The sequence below is a fragment of the Homo sapiens genome, chromosome 20, assembly GCF_000001405.40.
Source record: "Homo sapiens chromosome 20, GRCh38.p14 Primary Assembly".
Classification (NCBI taxonomy): Eukaryota; Metazoa; Chordata; class Mammalia; order Primates; family Hominidae; genus Homo; species Homo sapiens.
In genome coordinates, this window is record NC_000020.11 from 35,010,989 (window position 1) to 35,023,193 (window position 12,205).

The 12,205-nt window shown below is 48.2% G+C and overlaps 1 protein-coding gene across 11 annotated transcripts in view, besides 1 other annotated feature; it reads right to left on the reverse strand.

Moving 5' to 3' along the window:
• The window catches only part of TRPC4AP (transient receptor potential cation channel subfamily C member 4 associated protein), a 90,404-nt gene that overhangs the window by 8,585 nt on the left and 69,614 nt on the right, over positions 1 to 12,205 (reverse strand). For 7 of the 11 annotated variants that reach the window (XM_047440095.1, NM_015638.3, XM_047440101.1 and 4 more), the window contains 3 exons: positions 10,202 to 10,368; positions 5,020 to 5,151; positions 2,020 to 2,078 (listed from right to left, as the gene is read on the reverse strand). In XM_047440095.1, the coding sequence (XP_047296051.1) occupies positions 2,020 to 2,078; positions 5,020 to 5,151; positions 10,202 to 10,368 (358 nt within the window). The remainder of the gene's footprint in view (positions 1 to 2,019; positions 2,079 to 5,019; positions 5,152 to 10,201; positions 10,369 to 12,205) is intronic. The other 4 variants (XM_047440096.1, NM_199368.2, XM_047440098.1 and 1 more) reach the window with 2 other exon arrangements.
• Positions 7,105 to 7,305: a silencer, noted in NCBI's record as "peak4198 fragment used in MPRA reporter construct". NCBI's record gives its function as "represses an SCP1 promoter by STARR-seq MPRAs in K562 erythroleukemia cells {active_cell/tissue: K562}" and the evidence as "EXISTENCE:reporter gene assay evidence [ECO:0000049][PMID:32103011]".

Consider the following 12,205-nt stretch of genomic DNA (forward strand, 5'->3'; position numbering starts at 1 on the left):
GGTGGTTCACGTCTGTAATCCCAGCACTTTGGAAGGTCCAGGCGGGTGGATCACGAGGTCAGGAGTTCGAGACCAGCCTGGCCAACGTGGCGAAACCCCATCTCTACTAAAAATATAAAAAATTAGCTGGGCGTGGTGGCACACGCCTATAATCCTAGCTACTCAGGAGGCTGAGGTAGAATTGCTTGAACCCAGAAGGTGGAGGTTGCAGTGAGCCAAGATCATGCCACTGCACTCCAGCCTGGGCAATAGAGCAAGATTCCGTCTTGAAAAAAAGAAAAAGAAAGAAAACACATTTAATATATCTAACCCACTGAACCTCCTAGCTTAGCCTAGCCTACCTGGAATGTGCTCAGAACACTGACTTCAGCCTACAGTTGGCCATAATCACTGGCAACACGGCAGGCACAGCACAGAGTACTGGTTGTCTACCTTGGTGATCGTGTAGCTGGTCACCATTTTTCTTGAAATACATTCTGAGCTGCAGCTGCAGCTCAGTGCCCAGCATTGCAAGAGTATTGAACTGTTTATCATGAGCCCAGGAAAAGATCAAAATTCAAAATTCTACTTCTGTACCATTGTGAAGTTGAAAAATTCTAAGTGGACCATCTGTATATAAAATCCAGGCCTGTGACTGTGACCCACAACACCCTGTGACTGTGACCCACAACGTCCTGTGCAGCCCAGCCCAGAGCCAAGCCCACATCACTCCCATCAGCTGGCCACAATGGTCTTCCCTCGTTCAGGGGCTTCTGGCTAGAACACACACCCTCTCACATGCCTGTTCACTCAATTCACTACAAGCTGACACTTCAGGTCTTGGCTGGCAAGCCACTTCTGCAGGGGAGAGTTCCTGAGTGTCCTCTGGCCAGTCCTGGACCCTGTCAAATGTCTCTCACAGACCCCGTTCCTCTCCTCCTGAATACCATCTCCACTTATCACTAATGCTCAACGGTGGAATCCTTGGATGAACAACTGTCTCTGTTTTCAGACTCTGCCCTTCATGAGAGCAGGGGCCATGGCTGTTTGCATTCATCCTGATATCCCACAGAGTACTCAGACTGAAGAGTCTGATGAAAGCCAGAGACTCACTTCCTCAGGGAAAACAGCACAGTTCCATAACATATGTGGTGCCATTTTTCAGAAGGTTAACATGCTTCCTGGAGCCCTTCTATGGCTTTCAGCCGGAAAACCTCTCACAGAGGATGGGTGCATATGATGGAGGTGCCCTGGGGCCACAGCTGTCTCCAGGCATGTTCTGTTAGCTCAAATGCAAGGTTTTTAAAATATTTAAACCAACATTTAAAATCAGGACCTTTCACATAAATCTTAATTTCTGCCTTTGCTTGGCAGAAAAAATCAGAAGTTATGCAACAGTGGGCCCAGTTTCCTGTGCACACGCAGCTGGCTGGAGCTGAGCTCACTGAAATTCTTGTTCACTAAGGTCCCCACATCACCTCCCCAATGCCAAGGTCAAGGGTCAGCTGCTAGTCACCCCCTTCCTGCACTGTTTTCCTTACAGCAGAGAGTAATTTTCCTTGTACATTCTCCATCGAAGGTTAAAAAATAAATGAGCGCAGAATGTCTTTCAAGAAAAATGGGAGCACACCTCCTTGTGGAGGGAAGAATCCTCCAGCTGCTCAGTAAGCAGTCGGCTTTGCCTGTCTGAAGTTCCTGCCGGCCCCTGGGAATAGCCACGCTGTCCACTCTTGCTTTAGAGGGGCAGTAGGTTGAGAAATCCATTGATTCCAAAGGTAGTAAGGGGCCAACGACTTCCATACTCAGTTCCTGGGGTGGCTATGAGGGTTAGAAGAAAGCTTGGGGCAGTGCCTGCCATAAGGAAGTCTGGAAAGACGGGAGGTCCGACTGCAGTGTCACACCTGCTAACACTGAGGGGACAGTGGGCTTCCACCAGCTCCAGGGCCTCCTCTCGAGCTGAGGTCAGGGACCAGACAAGGAGATCGAGGCCTTCCGAAGACAGCCCAACAACTCTCCTTGCAGGGACACTCTTGTACTTACTCGTGGTGGTCACTGAAGCTCTGAAGAAGCCTCAAAAACTGTATCTTCAAGGTGATGTCCTGAAACACATGCACAGCCTCAATGTTAGGACCACAGCCACAAGGTTCCAAAATAACACAAGCAGACACTCTGGTGGGAGCCTGCTTCTCTAAGCCTCTGTCCTCATGTACCATGAGGACTTTTCTTTAGTTAGAAAACCATCTGTTCACTTCCACATCTGATCAACAGCAGATTAAGCTAATGTGGCCCCCTTCCTGCTAAAAACATGCCATCACACTCAATAAAAAATAAGGCGGGGCGTGGTGGTTACACCTGTAATCACAGCACTTTGGGAGGCCGAGGCGGGCAGATCGCTTGAGGTCAGGAGCTTGAGACCAGCCTGGGCAACATGGCAAACCCTGTCTCTACTAAAAATACAAAAATTAGCCAGGCATAGTTGCTGCGCCTGTAATTCTGGCTACTCAGGAGGCTGAGGCAGGAGAATCACTTGAACCTGGGAGGCGGAAGTTGCAGTGAGCCGAGATCGCACCACTGACTGCACTCCAGCCTGGGTGATGGAGACTCTGTCCCAAAAATCCAACCAACCAACAAACAAAACAACACGTGTGGGGAGGAGCGGGGGAAGTCCATAGGAGTTAGAAATGAAGAAAGGACCGAGGAGTTTGGAATAGTGAGCCAAGGAACTGATACTCAGCAGCTGTGGGCAGTGTGGAGAGGTGGAGACAAGACCTAGTCACACTAAGGCTTGGGTTTTAATGCCCTGCAGGGACTAGACAGGGTGTCAGGTCCCAGTAAAGCCTGGGGAGCATGTACACTTGGTGAAAGAAGGGTTAGAAAGGCCTGACCCACCAGCCCAGGGAGCCTGGCTCTGCCATGGTGCTGCTGGTGGGTGAAGGGGGCCCTCCCAAGAGCAGCAGAAACCCTGGGCTCATACGACTGGGGCAGTAGGGCCAAGACATTAAATAAGAAAACTGGCCCTGGGACAGCTGCCAGACAAAAGCAAAAGTGCCCTGTAGAAATGCCTCCAGGGCTGAGGCTACACAGGTATCCAAGGGGGAAACTAACCCCACTGACCTCAAGTGATCTGCCCGCCTTGGCCTCTCAAAGTGCTGGGATTACGGGTGTGAGCCACCATGCCCGGGAGCACGTTTCTATAGGTGGATGAAAATTACAATAGGATAAAACAGCAAATAAGGAAAAGCAGGCTGCTAGCTCATGCAGTGGGCAGCCCCCTCCCTGCCTGGAGTGAAATGAGATCCCCATCACAGAGATTACAAGGGGAAGTGGCTAGAGGGCCTCAGGCAGAATTTTTTTTTTTTTTTTTTTTTGAGACACAGTCTCACTCTGTTGCCCAGGCTGGAGTGCAGTGGCGTGATCTCAGCTCACTGCAACCTCTGCCTCCTGGGTTCAAGCAATTCTGGTGGCCGCTCCACAGACATTACAAAACACGAGGCAACACTCCACCCTGAGGTCTGAAGACCCAAACACAAGCATTAGTGCCCCATGAGCAATCGAAAGAGACCTTAAGAAAGTATTTTAAAAATGATTAAAAACAGAATATGCAGCAGAAAAAAGATATTAACATCATGGCTAAGCAGTTTCCGAATTGAGCCAGACAGAACATCTAGAAATGCAAAATATATTTGCTTGAAATTAAAAACTCAAATGATAAAGCAGAAGACAGGTCGCTGAGGGAAGTCCCCAGAGTGCAGTGAAGAGAAGAGGGCCCCATGGCACCAGGCCGATGGCTGGGTGGCACTTTTAGGTCCCAGAGCACTTTCCTTCTCATGCTGGTAGGCAGGGTGCCGACTAGCCGGGGGGCCAATAGGGGAAAGAGTATTATCCTTCTTTTGCAAGAAAACAGAGGCTCAGAGATTCAGTGATTCATTCAAGCTCTTCCAACAAGCCTTCCAATGTCCTGTTCAGAGCTCTCTCAAGGGGACTGTGAGAGACACAAGCTAAAGGAGAGTGCTTGGGCTCAAAAAACCAAAGCCACCTTTTTTTGTATGAGACAGTGTCTTTGCTCTGTCACCCAGGCCGGATGTGCAGTGGCTTGATCTTAGTTCACTGCAACCTCTACCTCCCGGGTTCAAGTGATTCTCCCACCTCAGCCTCCTGAGTAGCAGGGATTACAGGTGCCCCACCAACATGCCTGGCTAATTTTTGTATTTTTAGTAGAGACGGGGTTTCACCATGTTGGCCAGGCTGGTCTCGAACTCCTGACCTCAAGTGATCTGCCCGCCTTGGCCTTTCAAACTGCTGGGATTACGGGTGTGACCACCACGCCCGGGAGCACGGTTCTATAGGTGGATGAAAATTACAATAGGATAAAACAGCAAATAAGGAAAAGCAGGCTGCTAGCTCATGCAGTGGGCAGCCCCTGCCTGGAGTGAAATGAGATCCCTATCACAGAGATTACAAGGGGAAGTTGGCTAGAGGGCCTCAGGCAGGAACTTTTTTTTTTTTTTTTTTTGAGACACAGTCTCACTTTGTTACGCAGGCTGGAGTCCAGTGGCGTGATCTCAGCTCACTGCAACCTCTGCCTCCTGGGTTCAAGCAATTCTGGTGCCTCAGCCTCCCGAAGAGTTGGGATTACAGGCACCCAACACCATACCTGGCCAATTTTTGTATTTTTAGTGAGAGACGCAAGTGTCTCTCACACTAGTGAGACAGGGTTTCACCATGTTGGCCAGGCTGGTCTGTAACTCTTGACCTCAAGTGATCTGCCCGCTCGGCCTCCCAAAGTGCTGGGATTACAGGCCTGAGTCACTGTGCCCAGCCTAGGAAGATCTTAAAAGGGATTTCTGCATAGGTTGGGGTGGGGAGTGGAGTTCACTCAGATCCTACTCCAAGGTAGCTTCCAATTAGGGGACTATAAGATATGATTTTAGTTTCTGCTCTACTCCCAAAGGAAAAAAGGTCAAAGGGTCAGCAGCAGGTCTTGAAACAACTACTCCAAGCCAGTGAGGCCCCATCTGTCCCCGGGGGTCTCCTGCTTACCGGGCTACAGTCACAGTTCTGGTTGTGACCATGGAGGACAAGGGCAGATGCTGAATGCTTCCTCCAAATCAGTTTGTCAAACAAATTATTAAGTCCAGGGATCAGCTTGAACTCTGCAATCATTCTGTGAACCTGAATGGGATAGGAAGGAAAAAGTATTAAGACAAATGTGCTTGAAAAATCTAGCAAAACCTCGTGCTCAGTACACACGATAATGATATTCAGGACAAGTATCAGTACTGTCAGTAAGGAGGGCCAGGGTCTGAAGAAAACATCCGTGTATCCCCTATGCCCAGCACACACAAACCCACTTTCTAACTTTGCTCATTAATGCTCACAATAATCCTACAAGGCATAATGTCCGGTAGTTCCTATCACAGAAGCATGAGTTTGGGATTCAGAGAGTCCTGCATATGATTCAAGAGTCCTTTGGGATGCAAGAGTCCTGGGTTTGACTCTTAGCTTTACCATGTGCAAACTTTGTAACCTTAAACAAATTCCTTAAGATTTGTCTCCTCGTATTAACATCAAAATGTTCCTCATGCTTTGCACTAGGATAAATTTCAGCTGAAAGTAAGATACAATTATTAAAAAACTCTAAGATCTAGAAAAATCTCTGCAAAGAAAAAAAAATGATCTAAGAGTTGGAAAAGCCTTTCTGAAGGATTATAATAAACCTAGAAGCTCAAAAAGAAGCTTGTTGACATCAACCACCTAAACCTTTAAAAATTCTGTATGGCAAAACTCAAGCAAAGTCACAAGCCAAATATGACAAACAGAGAACATACATTGGCAATTCATGCCACAGGCAAAGAAATTCCTCTATAAGGAGTCCTACAAATGTCTCTGATTTTTCACTTTTTCAGACTGGGAAAGATGACAAAGCTTTATAAGACCGTGTTGGTGACTTGGGCATTGGGTACATTCACACGCTGTTGGTGGGAGGGCACACTGGTATGACCTGCACAGGGAAGAGTGTTTGGCAGTAGCTCTAAAATTGCAAATCCATAATCCCTTTAAACCAGCAATTCCACTTTAGGAATTTACACTCAGACAGATCCATATAAACACTAAATGATATATATTTACAACACTACTCACTATAGCATTATTTGTAATACCCCAAAATAAATTATGGTATGCCACTCAATGGGATACAAGGCACCAGTAAAAAAGAATCAAGGTATTTTATATGTCGTGAACTGAACAATTGCCGAGAGATAATACTGGGAAAGCAAGTGTGCTCATGCTGTATTACTGATTGTGTAAAAAAAGAGGAATACAATTCGCCTTTGTAAGCATAAAAATGTCTCTAGAAGGATACACTAATAACTGGTAAAATTAGCTGCTTCATGGAACCATTAGAATAGAATGTCAAGGATCAGAGGGGAGAGAGGCTTCACTTATACTAATTTATATCTTTTAAAACAGAACTGCAGGAATGATTTCCCTGTTAAAATTTGTTTATATAACATAAGGCTATTACTAGCCCTTCTCGGGGCTGTTGTAAGGATCGAGTCAGAAAGCAGATGTAAAGCTCTGCACACAGCACCAGTGCTCGCTTATTGCTATTTTACAAGGGGGAGAAGTTCAGCAAGACCAGCCTGGGTAAGGTCAGTGATTGCAACGGCACCTAACTCAGGTGTTCAGATCTTAAGTCTGCCCCTTTCTAGCCCACTACAGGTATGCATTTATCTTGGGAGACCAGAAGCTGACAAAGACATCCCTGGCAGCCTCCATTTCCATGGACCTCTTCCTTCAACATATTAGGTTGTGTAAAAGTAATTGCGATTTTTGCCACTGAAAGTAATAGAGGTGACTATTCTCTTCCTACTAGAAATCACAGCCTCTGGCCAGTGTTAAGACTCATAAGCAGCCCAGAATCTGTTAGACTGAGGCTGATGTAAAATGACACCTGTTCTGCCACTCAGGCCTTTACTAAAACCCAGCCTGGATCTACCTTGCCCTGCTTAACTGGGGGTGGGGAGGTACGGCTGACATCTATGGTGTTCACCAAGCCATGTGCCTTCCTGTCTCACTCCAAAGGGCCCTAAGCCAGGCCCAGGTCACACAGCTATAAAATGTTCCAACAATGGCCCAAAAAAATTCATCCAGTGCAATTGCCTCACTGCACAGACTAGAAACCCAAGCTTAAGAGATTAGGGGTGAGTCACACAGCTGGGAAGAGAGGGGCCTTCTAAGGCAGACTTGGACCTGACCCTGGGTCTCCTAAGTTCAGGCCAGTGCTTAGGTTTGAGGTTTCTACTACATCATTTCCCTTTTCTCTTAACAATACCAGCTTCTCGGCCGGGCATGGTGGCTCACGCCTGTTAATCCCAGCACTTTGGGAGGCCAAGGCGGGCGGATCACTTGAGGCCAGGAGTTTCAGACCATCCTGGCCAACATGATGAAACCCTGTCTCTACTAAAAATACAAAAATTAGCTGGGTGTGGTGGTGTGTGCCTATAACCCCAGCTACTTGGAGGGCTGAGGCAAGAGGATCGCTTGAGCTGGGGAGGCAGAGGTTGCAGTGAGCCGAGGTCATGTCACTGCACCACTCCAGCCTGGGTGGCAGAGCAAGACTGTCTCAAAAAAAGAAAAAAAAAAAAAAAAAAAAAAGAAAGAAAGAAAATAGCAGCTTCTTCATGTGTAAAATTTGTAAAACAAATTTTACTTGTAGAATGCATTATTCCTACTCTCAGGTCCAGCCCCGTAGCCTGCTCTATAGCAGGATGGTAGGCAGGTGGGCGAGATGAAGTGCCACTCTACCAGAGGAGGCAGCGGGTACAGGCTCAGGCATTTATCTCTGCAGTCAGACAGCCCTGGGTTCACAAGATAGCTCTGTGACCCTGGGCAACATTCTTTGAACCCAAGTCCCTTGATAGAAAAGGCGATGGGGGACGATGGAGCTGTTGAAAAGGCTCAGTGAGGTACTGTAGAAGCTACTCAGGGGGCACTAAAAGAAACGACTGCTATATGGATGGTTTTCATTAGCACCAGAGGGATGAAACTTGACAGCACATGGGGAGCCTTTCCAGTCCTGAGATTTCAATTTGGCCAAGATTGGTCTGAGAACTTGGCCCAACTGCTCATTAACGAGGAGGCCTCTTTAAGGAGGAAGCCTTCTGTGAGGCCTGGCCAAGGAAACCCTTCCCCTTGCTACCCAGTGTAGGCAGGATCTGGGAATCCAGATCCTCACGGTGCCCGGCACACAGCAGAAACCCAGGAAATGCTGACTGTGCAAATGAGAACACGCTAGTGAAACAGTGGTTTTGGGGGGCCAGGATTTCAAGGTCATTAGTGGTCCCTTCCCAAGGAACCAGCACTGTAATCATACAGTTTAACTCAAGACCGCAACAACTCATAGCAACCTGGCAACAAGAAGGCTCAGGGAACAGAGAACTGCTGTGAGAGGGCAGAAAGAGGAGACAGGGCAGCAGAGTTTAAATCCTGGCTCTATCCAGGCCTGTCCCCTGAGCGCACAGCCCAGTTTATGCCCTGGCTTTCTCAAGAATCGAGTGTGGGGACACAGAGTCACCACCTGTTGTGTAACTTACTAAATACCTGAAAATTCAAACAACTGTGAAAGTGCCTCGAAAAAGTAATAGCACTCAATGCACAGAAGCTGTCCCTACAATTATTTCACATATAAGCAACTGCGAAAGTGCCTCAAAAAAGTAATAGCACTCAATGCATAAAAGCTGTCCCTAAAACTATTATTTTTTATTAAAAACATGTTCCGTATTGAAGGAAGGGACACCAATGCTGTGGCTATCACCGTGGGATCTCATCCAGTGTCCTGGTTTTAAATACAACCATATGCTGAGGACTCCCAAAGTGATACCTCCAGCCTTGCCATCTCCCCAACACCAGGTGTAGGTAATCAATCCAAGTGTCAATTCTAACACACACCTCAAATCTACCTTGTACAAAACACAACTCCCCATCTTCCTCCCTAAGCCTGCTCCTCCACCCCTTACCTGCTAGTCTTAACCACCTCAATACCTGGCAAATCCATTCTCCTACTTCCTTGGGCGAAAAACCTTGGGAGTCACCCTTAACTCCTCTCCTCACTCTTAAGTTCACATCCAAACCATCAGCAAATCCTATCTTTCAAAACATATCCAGAATGCAACCACCTCCCACCAGTCCCACCATCAATGTGCTGGTCCTAGCTGCTATCATCTCTTGGCCCTATTATGAGGGCCCCTAATGGTCGCCCTATTCCCTTCCTTGCTGTTTCCAGTCTTTCCAAAAGCAGTCAGAGGAATGACTTCTCACTTCACTCAGAGTAAAAACCAAAGTCTTTAAAATGGCCTGTGACAGCTTGACATGACCTGGTCCCTGTGAGCCCTCAGCCCTCCTCTCCTGGCTGTTTGCTCCAGGCTGTCCCGCGCTGCCTCACTGTTCCAGCAACTATGCACACTCCTCCCCAGGGCACTGCCCCCTCCCACCTGGTACACTCTTTCATTCTCTTCTGGACGTTTTCATCCTCACTTGTAAAATGGGGGTAACTGCACCTCTGTTGCCCAGACTTGTGACAGTCCAGTGTCTGACTCAGAAAGATGTGGAAGGACTGCTGAGCCTCCAGCCTCTCCTGCCCCCATGCTTGGTTTCCTCCCTAGAAGGGCGCGGTCTGCAGGAAAAGGCTACTTCTCAATAGTCTTGAGGAGGGCCGCACTGTTCCAAGCCCTTTTTCCTCCACTGTAGGTTATGGGCCCCTCCTCCTCCGTCTTGGAACTACTTCAAGGCTCAGGGAACCTTGCACATCTGGAGCTCCCTGTACTTGCCCAGTTTTCCTAAGCAGACACAGCTCTGGGCTCTGTCCCACTGCCCTGAGCCCACATCAGGTTGGCAACTCCTCTAGCATGTCCACAGGGCCAGGCTTGCCAGCTTTCAACTCTTTAGTCTTCACCTCACAGAGGCAACTGCCTGCTTCTGCCCTCAGCACCAACCAAGACTGCCTAGAAACGCTCCATACAGCAAGGCACAGTGAAAAGACTCCCGGTTCTGGAATCAGCCTGGTTTCCTTATAGGTAGAACAGAAGGAGAAATACCCCTATGCTTTGCCAGGCTAAAGCGAGAGCCATTCTAACAGAAGGCCCAGTGGAGCACCTGGCATACCATGAGCACCCGGGCAGCACCTGCTCCCCGTGTCCTGAGACGCTGGAGAGGGGCCCACCTGGTTTCGCTGACGCCCCATCAGCAGCACGCAGAGGACATAGAGCACTTCCAGTTTGTACATGATCTCATGCATAATCTTCATTGACTGGGGCAGCTGGGTTCTGGCTGACGTGTGAGGCAGGCCATTCTCCTCAGAAGCCCCTGGAGGAGGGAACACAATGGAGGCTGACACAGCCACCGGAGACAGGATTGAGTCACAGCTTGTGAGGAAACACGTTTCTGCCCCTCGAACCTGCTCTGAACAGACTTGTAGCATGGCCATTCGGCTGGGCCATGAGCCCAAAACACAGACTCTGAAAGCTGCAAAACTCCCTCCACAATCCCAGGAGCCAGGTGAGCGCAGAGACTCGGAAAAATGGACTCTGCAATAGTTGTGCCTCATCAACTTTAACATAAAGTAAAAATATTCGGACACAGCCAATACAGTAACATGACCCATCCCTCCCTGCTTATGCCCTTCTCCTGCCACCAACCAGACCCCCAGGAAGTGCCCAGGCAGATGTATGACAGCAAATTATGGGGACCGCTCTTCAAGTCGCAAATGGCCCTGCTTACTTGGTTCTTCTGCTGAGACTCCATGAGGGACACTGCTGAAGCCCAAGAGGGATTCTTTTTGAAGAATTCCCCGTTTTTTAAAAGAAGAACCATCTAAATTTTTCTAAGGTTCAACTTTCTAAAGCAGACTGGGTATCACAACTGATGCTACTGATGCAGATGAACATATTATCTACAGGCAGATTTTCATTTTACCCAATGTCATTACTGCTAACATCAACAGCAGCTAAGTGATATTTATGGGACACTTGATATGTGTCAGACTTGCTGGCTTTATGACTTTGGGCCAGTCACCTCCTCACTAGGCCTTAGACTGCTCTGCAGCAGACAGCTAGGGTTACTGTGCAGACTGAATGGGAACGTAAGAGAAGCCCAGCATCTGATTCTTAGGAAGCCCCCATTCACTCCTAGATCCTTTCTTTACTTATTTACAGAGTCTTGCTCTGTCACCCAGGCTGGAGTGCAGTGGCATGACCTTGGCTCACTGCAACTTCCGCTTGCTGGTTTCAAGCAAGTCTCCTGCCTCAGCCTCCCGAGTAGCTGGGACTACAGGCATGTGCCACCACGCCCAGCTAATTTTTCTATTTTTAGTAGACATGGGGTTTCACCATGTTGGCCGGGCTGGTCTTGAACTCCTGACCTCAAGTGATCTGCCCGCCTCAGCCTCCCAAAGTGCTGGGATTACAGGCGTGAGCCACGGTGCCCAGCGTAGATCCCTACTATTTTAAGAGGGCATTGGTCAGAGTCAGGAGAGGCTAGGTGATCTTAGCAGAGTGACTTCCCTTCAGTTTCCTCATTTTAAAGGTGAACAGATGAATCAGTAACTGCCAAGGTCCTCTCAAGTTCCTACAGGAACTGCTTCCCTAGAGGCCTTTTGCAAAGGCCTCTATGTGTTATAGAGGAGTGGTTATCAGATATATTCAGGTAAGGCTCATACAGAAAACACAGTGATACTCTTTAAAGTATCAAGACAGAAGACCCTAACTTATTCCGACTAGGTGTGGTGGCTCATGCCTATGATCCCAGGACTTTGGGAGGCCGAGGCAGGTGGACTGCTTGAGCCTAGGAGTTTGAGACCAGCCTGGACAATACAGTGAGACCTCATTGCTATAAAAAAATTTAAAAAATTAGCTGGGCATGGTGGCATGCGCCTGTAGTCCCAGCTACTCAAGAGGGAGAGGTGGAAGGATCGCTTGAGCCTGGAAGGTGAAGGTTGCAGTGAACCAACAGAGATCGTGCCACTGCACTCCAGCCTGGGCGACAGAGCTGGACTGTCTCAAAAAAAAAAAAAAAAGAGAGAATCTAACTTACTCTATCCTACAGACTTGGAACTATCTTTCCCCGTCATGTTAAAATCACAACCTTGGAAGACGACAAGCTGCTGAATGAAGTGTGACTGAGACACAGTGTGACACGGTAGTTAAGAGCACTGACCCTGAAGCCAGAC